General features: G+C 37.4%; 1 protein-coding gene and 1 long non-coding RNA gene across 8 annotated transcripts in view; one reads left to right on the top strand and one right to left on the bottom strand.

Annotated features, from left to right (window-relative positions):
• PAXBP1 (PAX3 and PAX7 binding protein 1) overlaps positions 1 to 17,434 on the top strand; it is a 37,857-nt gene that overhangs the window by 8,955 nt on the left and 11,468 nt on the right. For 4 of the 7 annotated variants that reach the window (XM_006724066.3, NM_016631.4, XM_047441051.1 and 1 more), the window contains exons 4-12: positions 484 to 705; positions 1,639 to 1,742; positions 2,807 to 3,024; positions 3,532 to 3,721; positions 7,448 to 7,571; positions 11,583 to 11,682; positions 11,769 to 11,884; positions 14,103 to 14,302; positions 17,083 to 17,227. In XM_006724066.3, coding sequence (XP_006724129.1) covers positions 484 to 705; positions 1,639 to 1,742; positions 2,807 to 3,024; positions 3,532 to 3,721; positions 7,448 to 7,571; positions 11,583 to 11,682; positions 11,769 to 11,884; positions 14,103 to 14,302; positions 17,083 to 17,227 — 1,419 coding nt within the window. The other 3 variants (NR_027873.2, XM_011529804.4, XM_047441052.1) reach the window with 3 other exon arrangements.
• Positions 4,113 to 11,547, bottom strand: LOC124905010 (uncharacterized). The gene is made up of 2 exons (XR_007067844.1): positions 11,449 to 11,547; positions 4,113 to 10,685 (listed from the first exon to the last, which is right to left on the bottom strand). It is a non-coding gene; the product is annotated as an uncharacterized LOC124905010 (long non-coding RNA).

Here is a 17,434-nt window from a genome sequence, read left to right as displayed (position 1 = left end):
TAGCTGGGATTACAGGTGCCCGCCACCACACCTGGCTAATTTTTTGTAGAGATGGGGTTTCACCATGTTGGCCAGGCTGGTCTTGAACTCCTGACCTCAGGTGATCCACCTGCCTCAGCCTCCCAAAGTGCTGGGATTACAGGTGTGAGCCACTGTGCCCGGCCACTTCTATTTGTTAAAAATGAAAAAAAAAATTATAGCTAAAATAAAACTGCTTTGGTGGGTTTTTCCTTTTTACCCCGTCCCACTCTTTCCCATATATATTACCATTATATGTTCTTTTTAGTTTCCTCAGTGACTTTTATATTCCATTTAAACTCAATTAACAATCTTTTGGATTGCAGACATAGTATGGGAAGGAGGTGCCAGCAGCTGAAACATCACTGTGATGAGGCTATCTTGGATTATTTTACCCTTCATATTTTCAAGAAAATAGAAACTTTGCATCTCTCATACTGCCATATTCTTACCATTTGTTTCTAGGAGAAATTCCAGATGCAGCTTTTATACATGCTGCAAGGAAAAAGCGCCAAATGGCCCGAGAATTGGGAGATTTCACTCCTCATGATAATGAGCCTGGTAAAGGCCGCCTTGTTAGAGAAGATGAGAATGATGCCAGTGATGATGAAGATGACGATGAGAAACGCCGGATAGTTTTTTCTGTGAAAGAAAAGTCACAAAGACAAAAAATTGCTGAGGAAATAGGTAACTTGATTTAATTGAATAGTAAGCCTATTGCATTGCCTTTTTTTGTTTGTTTTAAGGCAGGGTGTCATTCCATCACTTAGGCCAGAGTGCAGTGGTACAATCATAGCTCACTGCAGTGTCTTGACTCGTGGACTCAAACAGTCACCCTTGTCTCAGCCTCTCGAGTAGCTGGGACTACAGGTGTGCGTCACCACACCTGGCTAATTTTTTTATTTTTAATTTTTTTGTAGTTATGGGGTCTCACTGTGTCTGGTGTCTTAACTCTTGGCTTCAAGAGATCCTCCTGCCTTGGCCTCCCGAAGTGCTGGGATTACAGGCATGAGCCACCATGCCTCAGCCTCCCAAAGTGCTGGGATTACAGGCATGGGCCACCATGCCTCAGCCTCCCAAAGTGCTGAGATTACAGGCATGAGCCACCATGCATGGCCTCTAATGCTATTAAATGTGATTTGATATTATAGTCAAGTAAAAAGTATTTAGACTTACTAAATTTTATGTTAGAGGACTATTCTTGGGTACAAGTGTTTTATTGGAATTTTTAAAAACTAATATCATTGTGATAACTCATGTTCATTGAACATTTATTGTGCAGCTGGTATTGTGCTTAGCAGTTTACATGCGTAAATTCATATAGTTCTATATTCCTAGGAGGCATTAGATTTTGTTCCCTTTGTTGATGTCAAGTTTACAGAGATTAAGAAACACATCCAAGATTTTAACTATTACATTAATACTGCCTTTAGCTTCAAGGAATACTGTGTTTAAAACAGGCAAAGTCAGGACTACCAAATGAGAGAGGAGATCATATTAGACATTTTAGTAAGATTGAGTTAATAGTTTTGCTCAGTTCTTGTGAAATGTCAGGACAGCATCTTTTACCTCTTTGCTCTTTGGGTGTTACTTACTTTTCTTTGTTGCTCATGGCTGTAGGAATTGAGGGGAGTGATGATGATGCTTTAGTAACTGGAGAACAGGATGAAGAGCTCAGCCGATGGGAACAGGAGCAGATAAGGAAAGGAATTAATATCCCTCAGGTACGACAAAAGAATTAAACTAAAAATTAAAAGTAGATTAAAAAGCCTTTTTTATTTTGTTAAAGTAAAAAATTCCGTATTGAATCTTTGTCATTCATTTCAAGTAACAAAATCCCATGAGGAGACACACACACACACACACACACACACACACACGCACGCACGCACACAGAGACACGTAGGCTTTTAGAAGAAACTGCAGTGTGTTCGGCTTTTTGCAGTCAGAATGATGGAGGAATTTCCAATTTCTTAGATGAGTTTTTCTCAAAGTGGTCCTTCAGTTAGCATTAGCATTACCCGGTAGCTCATTAGAAACGCAAATTACCAAATTATCAGCCCCCAGAGACCTACAGAGTCAGAAGCTTGGGGTGGTGGGGCCAGCAATCTTTGTTGAACAAGCCCTCCAGGTGATTCTGATGCACACTAAAGTTTGAGAACCATTGCTTTAAATGGAATGTTTTTGTGCGTGTAGCTTATTTTTTTGGACTTTAAGAATTATTTTGAAGAAGATGGATTTCTCAATAATACAAAAAACTTGAGATCGATGAAAAATATCTTCCCAGTTATAACAATTTGTTTTATAAAAGTAAGTAATACAGTGAGAAAAATTGCATAAACGTAAACCTATTTTTGTTAATAGTGTTTTGAGGCAGAATTCGCATACATTTGGGTGAAGTTAAGAAAATGGCACAATAGAGAAAGTCTTGGACTGGATGTCAGGAGTCTTAGATTCTAATCTCTGGTTGCCCATTGATTCTGTGACCATGGGCAAGGCATTTATCCTCTTTCATTGATCAAAGGTGGCCTTAAATGATTTTTGATGTTTCTTCCAACTCTGAACTCTGTTTTTCTGAAAATTATTAGAAATAAATTTAGTGATTCCACCAAGAGATAGGACATTCATTCAATCCTGCTTTTATCTAATTTTGAAGAATTCTGCAATTATTACATAATATTTGGCAAATAGGTATAATTTTTGCTGTTGATTTTTTAACCCTAAAGGCATATTATTATTTTCAAAGTTTTAACTACCAGATTTCATCTATATCCCATTTCTTTTCTAGGTTCAAGCCAGTCAACCCGCAGAAGTGAATATGTACTACCAGAACACTTACCAGACAATGCCTTACGGCTCATCCTATGGCATTCCTTATAGTTATACGGCCTATGGATCATCAGATGCCAAATCTCAAAAAACAGATAATACAGTCCCTTTCAAAACTCCCAGTAATGAGATGACTCCCGTTACTATTGATTTGGTAAAGAAACAGCTTAAAGACAGGTAGGGCAGATCAACTTCTTAAAGACCTGTCCGCTAGCTTTCTGTTCCCTCAGGCAACATGTAGTCTGGGGTAGCAGATGCAGAATATCAGCAAAGAAGATTCACTGGCCCAGCTTCAAAAGCTAAACAGAAGATGACTTCATACTTTGTTCTGCTACCTTCTTGGATTACTTCTGTGGAAGCCTCGAAAAATTATAAAAAATGCCACTCCATGATCTTGTTGAAGACATTTCTGAGTTTGTACCTCTTGGACTCTGAAAAAGTGTAGTCACGCTATGGGGGGAAAAGCAAAACAGTGAGATTTTGGTTAGCCCACAAAACTGTGAAATCTGTAAACTGCCATTTTTTGTTTTTTGAGAAAAAAAGCAGTACAGAGGAAAAGATGCCATTCCAAATATTTTTATGTTCTAATAGTGGAGCTAAATGCATATTTTAATATTGCAAGAGTCCTGACACCATAGACCTTTGGATGTAAATGTGTTATATTTATCCTTTTGTGTTCCTAAGGTTGGACTCCATGAAAGAATTGCACAAAACAAATCGACAGCAGCATGAGAAACATCTGCAAAGCCGAGTGGACTCTACCAGGGCTATTGAAAGATTAGAAGGGTCTTCTGGGGGTATTGGTGAACGGTATAAATTTTTGCAAGAAATGCGAGGGTATGTCCAAGACTTGCTTGAGTGTTTCAGTGAAAAGGTAAGAATGCAAAAATACTAATCTCTTTGAATAAGGCAAAATTAGGGAGGTCTAGATGGCCTTGTGTAGAACATTCTATAATTCTCAGAAAGTACCCACTGAACTCAACATTAGAAGTGATGAAAAGTCATGCTTCATTTTTCTTCACTTCATTAGTGGCATTATCTCTTAAGGGCAATATAATACCTTTGTTGAAAACAGAAATAAAGATAATATCTTAAAGCACATTTAAATAAGACTTTGGAAAGTCTTATTTCAATATGGTGGTAGATTATTATTGGCCTGTGCTGAATTCTTAGAATATAAGGGACTCATCTGATAAAATTTTCTTTTCTGGTTCAGGTTTAAACTTATTTTTAAACGTTTCTACAAGCAATTCTAAATATGCATATAAAGTTGCAAATTTTTATTAGTTTTTTTTTTTTTTTTTTTTTTACCCTGGATGATGATTACCATTGTTGCTAATAGTTTTTATCTAAGTAAGCCTATGCTTGATTTCTTTCAGAAACCATTTCATTGGATATCATTTTTTCTAAGGTTTCATTTCTCCCAAGTTTGTTTTTTTCAATAGGATAGTCAGTTGACAAAATGTTTGGCATTCTTATACTATTTATTGTTTACATTTAAAATTAGGTGCAAACAGCTAGTTTCTCAAATGACCTCCTAATTGATTTTTTTTCTTTAAGATAAAAGTATTGGTTGAGGCACTGGTTTATAAGCATTTGTGGACTTTGCAGCCTTATCTTTAAAAAAAAAAAAATTAAAACTGTGGTCCTTAAATATCCTGTCTGAACTTTGGATTGGAAGGCACATTTCCCTTTGTTATTGGCTATGTAGATTAGCTTAGAATCTGTAAGCATATAGTGTGGTTAAATATGTATTTCAACTTTTGTTATCTTTGTTGATTACTTGAATACCCTAAAACCAATGGCTGGGAAAAGATCATTGCCAGACTATGTCTTCCTGATGGATCTTTCTTCCTGATGGGTCTTAATGGTTCCAGTCAGTCTGTGGCCAGATTCAGGATGAGATAACATTCACCATGTCCTCTCTGTAGGGTTTCTCATGTTTTGTCTTTATCACCTGGTTTCTGGAGAAGCAGCTGCAGTCTGAGTTATGATACCACTTGTGGTGTATCAGTTGCTTAGGGTGGGGAAGAAGTATAGGCTTGTCTGTATTCCTCTGTGCCGGGAGCTGGAGTCAAGATTGGAAGTGGAACCTAAGTGTCAAGAGTTGACAGTCATGTCCTTCCTACTGGCAAAACTCTTCTGAGCCCAGTGGGCATGGTGGGAGCTGGTCTCATAACCTTTGTGACTAGAGAAAGGATCTTTTTCTTAAACTATGCTTTATGAGTTTGTCCCTGGAGAGCTGCTTCTTGAAGTGTCTTGGCGCTTGCTTCGGAACTTTCTTGAGTAAATTAAGACATTCATAATTGCAAACACAACTCTAAAAAATTTGACAGTAATATGATCAGCTAGATCATACCAAAAGTAGGACAACCTAGTTTATAGTTTTTAATTGTTGAATTATTAGTGTATTTCATCTCGATTACCTTGTTCCTAGAGAAGTTTACTTCAGATTATGCTAATGTGGTTATACAGAGTCACTTAGATTTTTTGGAACAAATCTTAAACCTTATACAGTGACTACGTTTTAATTAAAAGAGAGGTAGACATAGCTTCATTTAAAGATGAGTATTATATTTCATTCTAACATTTTCATGTGTATTTCATTTTAAGAGTACTGCTCAGCTTAGATCTTTAGAAGATAATCTTAAAAATAAAGAAAAAACAAAAAAGTACTGCTGAGTTGATAATATAAATTGTTATATTGGAGATACTTAGAAATAATTGGATACTTTGAATAATTATACTATAATAATATTTCAGAGTTAACCGTAAAAAGATAAAGATCCCTTTTTTTTTCCTCTTTGCTTATGAAAGTTTAGGTGGTTTTTAAAGAAGTTTTAAATATTTGTAAATCATTTTAACTTGCCATTGTTTTTGTTTCCCTGTAATTATCTTTCTTGGGTTCTTTGCCTTAACTTTGGCCCTAAAATAGTAATAATTGGTGAGAGTTTTGAGTTTGGAGAGGATAAAGAAATTGTCACGGTGCAGACTCTTGAGATAAATCAATATTGTTAAGAAACTTGAATGAGAGCTCACAGTCTGTTTAGGGCTTTTATTCTCAGTAGAGTTTTTCTCTGGACCTCCGGTAAAAGGCATTCCAGTTAACCTAAAGAGAAAAACTACATTGTCAGAATCTTAACTATATGTTGCAAAATTATATTCTGTATGATGCCAGCTTAGGTGGGTAGTTCCTACAGTACAGGAAGCTTAACAATCTCTAGGATTAAAAGATAAAAGAATGCCTCAGGCTCATTTATCTTTAGTACTTCATGGTTTAAAAAAAAAAATGAGGGCATGGGGAAGTGTAAATGGCAATGTTGTGGCAGTAATTGCTAAAAAAAAATCAGATTATAATAAATTTTAATGATAGAGTCTCTGGACTCAGCTATCAAGGATAATCATTACAGATTTGGGGACATTGTTGCCCATGGTGTGGCATATTAAAGAACAAAATAACTCCATTAGTTTGACCTTTCTGTGAACATTTGCTACTTTTGCAATGGAATCATGCAAGTATATAAAATTGCTTTTATTACAGACATCTCTGTATTCCACCTGCCTTTTTTTATTTTCCATTTGCAGTCTGTTCAGTTCAGGAAGCTGCTATAACACTTGGTGCCAGTGTTCCCAAACTCTAAATAATGTGTTTTCCATTTGCACTAACCATCAGGAAACTAGAATTTCTGGTTTCCTCAGGTATGTGTAGTGGTCATTAGTGTTACGTGAAAGTCTCATAGCATTTGATTATAACATAAGGTATTTAGAAAAAGAAAGTTTTCTGTTTTAAGTTAGCTCTCATGTTCTTTTGTATTCTATATGAATCAAGTAAATGCTTTAGGGATATTAACCTGGAAAAATTATTGACTTTGTAAGTTCACAATTCATGTAAAGAAATTTTTATAAAATATGGGAGAATTTAAACATTTGACAGGAAGAGAACAACTTTTTAAATTTGAGATATATTGAGTTCAGAGAGGTTAGTGATAGCTGGAAATTTTATTCGCCCTAGTAATTATTTTGTTTACATTAAAAAATCTGTAATAAAGCTACAAAATAGTAAACAGATTACTGTAACGTACTTGGTACATATGAGTGGCAGAGCAACTGAAATGTCCAAAATTGGAGAATTAGCAGACTCTTGTTCTTACCTACTTATAGAGCCATTGCACTTTTTTGGTACCACACAGTGATAATGTTTTACTTTGAACTACAAAAATCGCAATGCAGATAATGCTGCTGGAAAATTAAAAATAGATATTAAAAAGACTTCTAAGTACTTAAATATTCTCTAAGGGAAAAGCTCTAAAATTGTTGACATTTCTTTACTTGTTCTATGAATACTGAAGTGTTACATTTCTTAACTAATGTTTGCTCCAATAACTAGGCACTGGACATTATAGCTCTATGCATGGATTAAAAGAAGAAGTGTCGTTTCCCAAACATAAAACAGAATTTGCTACTTGTGTGCTGTTGGGGATTCATGATTATTCTGTCCATAGAGAGGGTACTTTTTCAGAAATCCGGAAATAGTATGGAACCCTCAAATAAATAAGCAGCTGAGGAGTTTGGTGTTACGGAGTGTGTTGTATTTTTACAGGTGCCACTGATTAATGAACTTGAATCAGCAATACATCAGCTGTACAAACAGCGAGCTTCCCGCCTTGTCCAAAGACGACAAGATGATATTAAAGATGAATCTTCGGAGTTTTCAAGCCATTCAAGTCAGTCCATCTTGAAGGTTTTTATTATTCATTAAACAACCTTGTTTACTTAGTGCAGCCTAATTGAAAATTAGAGATCTTGGAGCTTTTTTTTTTTTTTTTAAAGAAACAATTTCCTTGCTGTTGTGTCAGGTAGATCTAAAAATGGTAACAGCATGTACTTGAATTGTGTTTAAGAAAATAGAGCTTCACAAAGGAGCTCAAAAACGTGCTAAGATTCTGTCAGTCTTCTTATTCTTTGGGCATATTTTTTCATTCTCCTTTAGAGTATAGAAAAGACATTATCCGTATTTTATGTTAAAACCATTATCTGTTTGGCCCTAATTGGTTTTTTCCCCCATTTTCATTCAAAACACCAATACAAATAAATGCTTTTGTTGATCACAGTGAAAGAGTTTGAGTTTAGGGACTGGGACATGTTGTGGGTAGGGGGAGGGAAGCTATAACTTAACAAATGACACAACTCCAAGATAGGAGAGTTTTGAGCTTCATCCTTTGGATAAAGCAAACTTTTTGTAATTTCTTTTTAAATGTTTCTCTAGTTTGCTTTATGTACTGTGTTTTTTAGTAAGTCAGTTGGTGCTTACAATTCTTGAAATTTTGTATACAAATGGATAGAAATTGAATTTGTACTTCCATCATTATGACATGTGTTATGGAAAACCAGAATTAGAAACCTCTTGTTAAATAGTTCAGCGGAGGTCCTTTAACTGGATGTTTTAAACCGTTTAGTTCCTTTTTTTCCGTTACCCTCCATATTCTTGAGTGCGCTAATAGGAATTTTCCTAGTGTGAATTCCTTGTGGTTTCTTTTGTCATTTCTTTGTTCCCTTTGTCAGCATTTCTCAAATGGAAGTGTGCATCACAATTACCTGATACTCGTTTAACATACAGATTTTCTGGTTCTATCCCCAGTGATTCTTACTAGGTCTTCAGCATCCAGAAATTTGCATGTTAAACAATCTCTCCAGGTGATCAAATGCAAATAGCTCTAATGTTATTCTTTCAGAAAGCAATGCTTTGCTATACATGGTCTCTAAGTCAGAGAGACATAGGATCCCTGAAAAAGCATCCTCCTATATGTCAGATGGGTTTTGGAGAGGCATAAACAGATGGTAATACGGCCCTCATAGCTGAGGTAGTCTCAGCTATGAGCCCTATAAATGGCTATGACCTTCTGTTTTTGCCACTGAATTTTAAATTGGATTATTGACATTAGCCACCTACATGACTCATGCATCCCTCCCAGATCACTTTTGATCCAGACAGAACCAGATTTCTGGGGCAGATTACAGGTAACCATTATACTACAAAGGGAGGTAATTTTCTTTTAAGTTAGATGGTTTGTGTGAGCTGTACATTTCATCAAATACCTTTTCCCATCTGTAATTTGTTCTTGAGAATATGGAGCTATTTACTTAGAGGGGATTTGAAAGAAGAGTTGAATTATTTATATTAGTTTGATTGAAAGTTGGAAAGAAATTAAAAGATACTGGGAAAGTGAAAAATACAGTCCTAGAGGGAGTATACATTAATTGCCAAAGATTTGAGGAAAATGACATGGGATGCTGGAGAATCAATTCATTTTCTGATCTGTTTTTTAAAGAAGTAAAGAATAGTCTGAAATTCTTCTGTTTAGATTTATAAGCACTTATCTGCAATTACTGTGTATAATTCTTACAGAAATGGAGGAGGCTATCACTTGAGTCATGTTAGACTCACCTGTCTCCTCCAGTGCACATTTTACAAAACCTATACATGCAGTGATGTTTTAAGTATAATGTTTTTTTTTTTTTTTTTTTTTTGAGACGGAGTCTCGCTTTGTTGCCCAGGCTGGAGTGCAATGGCGCAATCTCGGCTCACCGCCACCTCCGCCTCCCGGGTTCAAGCAATTCTCCTGCCTCAGCTACGCCTGGCTGATTTTTGTATTTTTTTTAGTAGAGACGGGGTTTCACCATGTTGGTCAGGCTGGTCTTGAACTCCTGACCTCGTGATCCACCAGCCTCAGCCTCCCAAAGTGCTGGGATTACAGGCGTGAGCCACCGTGCCCAGCCGTATAATGATATTTTTAAAAATATTTCTTGAAGGAAAACTCTTGAGTCTGGAATTATTTTTATAGTTTGGGATATTTTAGCTAATTCATCTGGGGTGTGTAGTGAACTCACATCTAGGGCTGGGAAATCTTTCTGGTTTAGTAATTTTTCATTGTAATTGATGCACTCAGGAACATACCTCCTTCCTAATTTCAGAGCTATTTTGAAATATGAATGAAAAACTCAGTAAAAAAAAAAGTCAACTTTTAAAAATAGTAGGGTCTGGTCAGGCACGGTGGCTCTCGCCTGTAATCCCAGCACTTTGAGAGGCCGAGGCGGAGTTTGAGACCAGCTTGGCCAACATGGCAAAACCCCGTCTCTAAAAATACAAAAATTAGCTGGTGGCGGGTGCCTGTAATCCCAGCTACTCAGGAGGAGGCTGAGGCGGGAGAATCGCTTGAACCTGGGCGGCGGAGGTTGCAGTGAACTGAGGTTGTGCCATTGCACTCCATTCTGGGCGACAAGAGCAAGACTCCGTCTCAATAAATAAATAGATAGATAGATAGTAAGGTCTGATAATTAGGATATTCTGAAGTAAGAGCTAAATTTTGGTTTTGTTTTTCCTGTTGCTGATTTTGGTGACACATCTCTGTTGATATCAGTAAATATCAATTGATAAGTAAAAAAATATGCAAGTCTTAACTTGGATGTCTTTCATCTTGCATGTGCTCACCTCCCTCCCCTCTCACCCAGTCGTTTGGGTTGTTTGCCTCCCCTTACTGTCATATCTTCATAGTGTGGAACTAAAACGTAGAAATGAGGGAAGTATAGTGGACAGATGTTTCCCCCACCCCTTCTTTTACCTAGGCAAGAGATTAGGGGAGTCTTTTTTGATTAAAGAGAGTAGGTCCAAAATAAAGACCCTGAAACACTAAAATCTGGGGATCCCCAACAAAAGAACTGGCTCAGTACCTAGTGATCCGACGGAGACACCTCTGTTAGACAGCTCCTGCCCACACACACAGCTTCCAGTCTTGCTCTTCTATATGAACAGGCAGTTAACGATGATCATAAGGACCAACCTGAGCAGCAGAACCAAAGGGACTGAGGAAACAGACAGTGCTGGTACAAGTATGCAAGTTTTCTGTAAACAGATTACTTTCAAACAGTTGGGAGCCCCAGGGAGATAATAGAAGGTATCCTACTCAACAGGAGTATATAGAATGCTGTAGAAGAGGAATATTGTAAGAACAAGAACTATCTCTTGAAAACTAAAAATATGATAACTGAAATATAAATTTAAATAGGATTGGAAGCTAAAGCTAGGAAATTACCCTAGAATGTTTTTTGAGAAATGGAAAATACGAAGACCAAAAAAATAAAATAAAACTATGCTGTGAAAGAGAAAGATTAGCATTTGAGAAGGCGGAAGTTGGTCCTGCTCAGATGCGGTTTTCAGATGCCTTATTCTAAAAATAGTGATAGAAAACAAATTTCTACAAAGCAAAATTACAATAAATTTATTAAACTCTTGCAACAAAGCTGTTTTCTTATGTCTTCCTATGTTTTCCTGCTGTCATTCAATGTGATGCTGAAGTTCTTCCTCCTTAAAAATGTAATATTTTTCCCTTTGCACAGGTAATTTAGAGTTTTAATTTATTTGGTCATCATGATAGCTATTCCTGATAGCTGTCCTGTTACTTAGACATAAAAATAGTGAGTAAGCCCAATTACATATTTGTAGGGTTGTTGAACTCTTAAAAAGAAATCACTTCTTTAATTTTTCTACTTTTTAAAATGGGAACGCAGAATAATAATGAAATTTGTTCTAAACCAAAAACCTACCTGGTTTACCAGTTATTGCAGAATCTTGCCGTTGAGATTAGCAAGCAGTCTGTCGTAATGGCTTATTCTGTGCAAACTCTTTCCTCAAGATTGTTGAAAGATGGCTTTTAATTTTAACTGTTGTTGTTTTGCAGACAAAGCTCTGATGGCACCAAATCTTGACTCCTTTGGACGCGATCGGGCACTGTATCAAGAGCATGCAAAACGTCGCATTGCAGAGCGGGAGGCCAGGAGGTAATTCTCAAAACCCTTGCTCTGGCTTGTTTGGGAAGGGAGGAGTCTCTGTTATCTAGTTTGGGAACTTGATGTTTATTATTTAGGACTCGTCGTAGACAAGCCAGAGAACAAACCGGTAAGATGGCAGATCACCTTGAAGGCCTTTCCAGTGATGATGAAGAAACTTCTACAGATATTACTAATTTCAATCTGGAAAAAGGTTAGACATTTATTTGGAAATAAGACTCATCATCAGTTTAGTTTCTACTTGGGTATGGTTTTTACCATGAAATGATTTGAATCTTCATGGTCTCTGCATTAGAACCAGACACTTCTTTTTTAATTGCAGAAATTTGCATGCCTTTTTATTAGTGAATATCATGATGAATTCTCAAAAATAGGGGTAACATCTTCTCATAGGGTGTACTTAGTATTTGCATAATAAATGTTGTTACTGTTCCAAATGGTAGAATTTTAAGTGACTGGAAATGTGTCAGGTCCTTGAGGGCAGCTCTCATTGCAGCCTGTCTGGTCTGGAAAGGTAAAGCTTGGCAGTAGAGCACTCAGCCCTGAAGGAAACTCTTGATTTGGGGAGTCATAAGTAATCTCACCTTAGAGGAATGGTTAGTACTATTATGTGCCAGGCATTTTCAGAAGGATCCCAAATAAAAGTCTTCATTTCCCACCATTGGCTATAATTGTTTGGAATTATATCAATTGCACACCATTTGGAACTTAGTTGGAGAAGCTTCTTTCTCTTACTTTTTTTACAGTGAACATTTCTAAACAAAATTTGAAAGACTAGCACAGTGATCATCCACATACCTATCACTCAGATAACAATGCTTATGATTTCACCAAGTTTGCCTGGCTCTTTATACAAGGAGATGTGTGTGTTTGCTGAACCATTTGAAAGTAACTTACAGACCTCATGGCTCTTCACTCCCCAAAATTTCAGAGTGTGTTTCCTCTAAATGAGTATATTTTTCTGTATAATCACAGTATTATTATCTTTTTTCTTTTTGTTAGATGCCTATTCTGATTAAGTATTTCTTTTTTTAGCACAATAAGAAAACAGATTTCTTAATATCATGTCCATATATAATTTTTCTCAATGGCATCCTGGAAAAACCCTTTTTAGGAACTATTTTTATGGGTTATTTTGTGGTTTTTGAAACCAGGATCCACCTAAGGTTCATGCTCTGCATTTGGTTATGACATTTTTAAATCTGGAATAAATGAGTAACCCTAAGTACACATTCACACACCCACCCCTATTGTTCTTTAAATTTTTGAAGAGACCAGGCCACTTCTCTTATAGACTGTCCTATATTCTAGACTGGTCTGTATGTTTCCTCATAGCATTGTTTAACTTGTTCTTTGATCCATTTCTTGTAAACTGGAATTTAGGTCTGAAGGCTTAATTAGATTTAAGTTAAACTTTTTTTTTTTCTTCCCCAAGAATAATTTATACAGGATGCTGTTTCATACTGCTTAAAAGCACATGACAAATGTTAGACTGTCCCCACTATTAGCAATGTTAAGATTGATCTTGCAGTAAAGGTTCTCAGAACTTTATCTCTCCATTGTAAATATTTCCTTTTCCCAAGTAATCTGGGACATCATAAGAGTATCTTATTCTTGGTTGGGCACAGTGGCTCACACCTGTAATCCCAGCACTTTGGGAGGCCGAGGCAGCGGACCACTTGAAGTCAGGAATTCGAGACCAGCCTGGCTCACATGATGAAACTCCATCTCTACTAAAAATACAAAAATTAGTTGGGCATGGTGGCGCATACCTGTAATCCCAGCTACTCAGGAGGCTGAGGCAGGAGAATCACTTGAACCTGGGAGGCAGAGATTGCAGTGAGCTGAGATCGCACCACTTCACTCCAGCCTGGGTGACAGAGTGAGAATCTGTCTCAAAAAAAAAAAAAAAATCTTATTCGCAAATAACTTTTCACTTAAAGTTCCTAGCATCCATTCAGCTGATAGTTGGCTATGTCAGTTATTATAATCACCAACAGAGTTTGAATGAAGCAATGTGATTAGTGACTGATTATGATGCACAGCTGTTAATCTGTGCAGTGATCTGTGAACTAAAAAGCTAGCGGCACAATTACTTATGGCTAATACACCGTAGTAACTGAAATTTGAACCATCTTGTTTGGGAACAGGTTTTATTTAGCCAAACTGTGGTAGAAAAATTGTATATACTGGAACTGCAAAACAAGGACTGGCTGCACTTTAGTTTACATAATAGACAAATTGAAACTTCAATTTATTTTTTTCTTCTAAATTGTGACTAACAATTGGCCCTTTGTTAATGAGCGTATCTTCTGATACTGAAGCTACAAAGAAAACACTGAAAATATTGGACTGTTTTTTTCCTACTTCATACTAATGTATGGTTCTCTGTGGGGTTTTGTTGTTTTTAGATCGAATTTCAAAAGAATCCGGCAAAGTTTTTGAAGATGTCCTTGAAAGTTTCTATTCAATTGACTGTATTAAATCACAGTTTGAAGCATGGCGTTCAAAATACTACACATCCTACAAAGATGCTTACATTGGCCTTTGTTTGCCAAAATTATTCAACCCCCTCATACGACTTCAGCTCCTCACTTGGACTCCTCTTGAGGTGAGTGGCTTCTGTCACTATTAGAAAGTGTTATAATTTGATATCTGGGTAATTTTAATCTCAAAGCTAGAGATGTAAGCTTAAGCAAAATATTTTGCAGGGGTGATAGGGCATAGGCTATAATTGATAGATTGTATCTGGTTATAATCTTATGATCTTTCCTTTTAAGTTTCATGTCTTCCCAGCAGAGCTATGTGTTTTTTTTGTTGTTGTTGTTGTTTTTTCAGTTTACATATAATCCTTTTTTCAGCCAGCTGAAATTATATGCAGTAACACTGGGATATGAACATGAATAGTAAGAACTTGGTCCTTTGATCCTAGAGGAACTCAGAACCAGATGGGAAAGCACAATGAGGCAGGTGTGAAATGAGGACATGACCCAAGTCAGTTGTCATGGTGAGAAAAATTGATAGGCCAGGCATGGTGGCTCATGCTTGTAATCCCAACAGTTTGGGAGGCCAAGGCGGGAGGATTGTTTGAGCTCAGGAGTTCAAGACCAGCCTGGGCAACATAGCAAGACCTTGTCTCTACTTAAAAAAAAAAAAAAAAAATTAGCTGTGGTGGCATGTGCTCATATTCCTAGCTACTTCGGGGGCTGAGGCAGGATTGCTTGAGCCCGGGAGATCAAGGCTGTAATGAGCTATGATTGTGCCACTGCACTGCAGCCTGGGTGATAGAACAAGACCTGCCACAAGAAAAAAAAAAAAAGATAAGGAGGTGGAATCAAGAGGACCTATTGGCCTGTCATATAAGGGAGGGGGCTAGAATTGACTCTGGAGGTCTAGTGGTGATGTTTACAATGTGGTTTTAGAAGTTACCAACGTGGGTGAAGCTGTAGACATGGTTGAGATTGGCTAGGTTGAATTTGTGAACTATAAGGAAAAGGGAGCTGAGGTTGATGCCATGGAAACACAACTGAAAAAAATGTGAGCTCTGAGAAGCATTCAGCTCACAGCTCCTATTTCCTGTGTGCTCTTGGCCAGACCTTCTGAAGTTTTGCTGTGTGCATGAGTGTCTTGGTAGATAGCAAAGGCCCAAGACTGTATTTTGGAGTTATTTTTCTGTGTCCCCCACTCCTCTGCCCCACAGTTTCCAGCTGTGTCAGCCTTCCTGAGCTCCACCCTCTGTCTCCTCCACTCAGCAAAACTGCTCTGCTGTCCTGAACTAGCATCTCACCTCATTTGATTCCTTTCTTTAAAGGGTCATAGTCTTGTGCTGCCTATGGTCCATTGTATTTTGTCCAGTTCTTTTTTATTTTCTTTGGCTTTTAAGTTCCAGGGTACATGTGCAGATTTGTTACATAGGTAAACATGTGACATGGTGGTTTACAGCACAGATCAACCCATCACCTTGGTAGGAAGCCTAGCATCCAGTAGCTGTTGTTGCTCTCCCTCCCCCAAGTCCCCACCCCCACCCCCCAACAGGCCTCAGTGTGTGTTTTTCCCCAGTATGTGTCCATATATTCTCATTGTTCAGCTCCCACTTGCGAGAACATGTGGTGCTTGGGTTTCTGTTCCTGCGTTAGTTTGCTGAGGATAATGGCTTCTAGCTCCATCCATGTCCCTGCAAAGGACATGACCTCGTTCCTTTTTATGGCTGCATAGTATTCCATGGTGTATATGTATAACATTTTCTTTATCCAGTCTATAATTGATGGGCATTTGGGTTGATTCCATGTCTTTGCTATTGTGAATAGTGCTGCAGTGAACATACATATGCATGTAGCTTTATAATAGAATGATTTATATTTCTGTAGGTATATACCCAGTAATGGGATTGCTGGGTCAAATGGCATTTCTGCTTCTAGATCTGTGAGGAATTGGCACACTGTCTTCCTTACACTCCCACCAATAGTGTAAAAGTGTTCCTTTTTCTCTGAAACCTTACCAGCATCTTTTGTTTCTGGACTTTTAAATAATTCCCATTCTGATTGGCATGGGATGGTATCTCATTGTGGTTTAGATTTGCATTTCTCCAATCATCGGTGATGTTGAGCTTTTTTTCATGTTTGTTGGCTACATGAATGTCTTCTTTTGAGAAGTATCTGTTCATGTCCTTTGCCCACTTTTAATGGGGTTGTTTTTTTCCTATAAAGTTTCCTGTAGACTCTGGATATTAGACCTTTGTCAGATGGATAGATTGCAAGAATTTTCTCCCATTCTGTAGGTTGTCTGTTCACTCTGATAATAGTTTCTTTTGCTGCGTAGAAGCTCTTTAGTTGAATTAGATACCATTTGTCAATTTTTGCTTTTGTTGCAGTTGCTTTTGGTGTTTTTGTCGTGAAATCTTTGCCCATGCCGATGTCTTGAATGGTATTGCCTAGATTTTCTTCTAGGATTTTTATAGTTTTGGGGTTTACATTTAAGTCTTTAATCCATCTTGACTTAACTTTTGTATATGGTGTAAGGAAGGAGCCCAGTTTCAATTTTCTGTATATGGCTAGCCAATTCTCCCAACACCATTTATTAAACAGGGAATCTTTTCCCCATTGCTTGTTCGTGTCAGGTTTGTCGGAGATCAGATGGTTGTAGGTGTGCGGTCTTATTGCTGAGTTCTCTATTCTGTTCCATTGGTCTATGTGTCTGTTTTTGTATCAGTACCATGCTGTTTTGGTTACTGTGGCCTTATAGTTTGAAGTCTGGTAGCATGATATCTCCAGCCGTCCAGTTTTTAGTTGTTTGCAACCAAAGGTTAAATCCAGTTCTTGTTTCTCTTATCATAGCTGGAAGCAGAAATAGCCACTATTTTAGTATTTGGGTAACCTTTTAAATGTCTTTTAGGCAAAATGTCGTGACTTTGAGAATATGCTGTGGTTTGAATCTTTGCTGTTTTATGGTTGTGAAGAACGAGAGCAAGAAAAAGATGATGTAGATGTTGCCCTACTACCTACCATTGTGGAAAAGGTGATTCTTCCTAAACTAACAGGTAAATCTCCTGTTCTCTGAATTGAGCATTCAGACACACTGGCTTTCTCAAATCTATTTTTATGAGTTTATAATTCAGAGCATGTTTCCTTATAGAAATTACATGAGAAATAATAGTTACCACCTGGCCCAGAGATGGCTAGAGGGCAGAGGGGTTCTTATCCTGGGACTTGAAGACCACTTTAGGGTGGGCCTGTAGTTGAGTGCA

Source organism: Homo sapiens, chromosome 21, assembly GCF_000001405.40.
Source record: "Homo sapiens chromosome 21, GRCh38.p14 Primary Assembly".
NCBI classification, from domain to species: domain Eukaryota; kingdom Metazoa; phylum Chordata; class Mammalia; order Primates; family Hominidae; genus Homo; species Homo sapiens.
The sequence above is the reverse complement of the archived record's forward strand: the minus strand, read 5'-3'. Positions and strand labels throughout refer to the sequence as shown.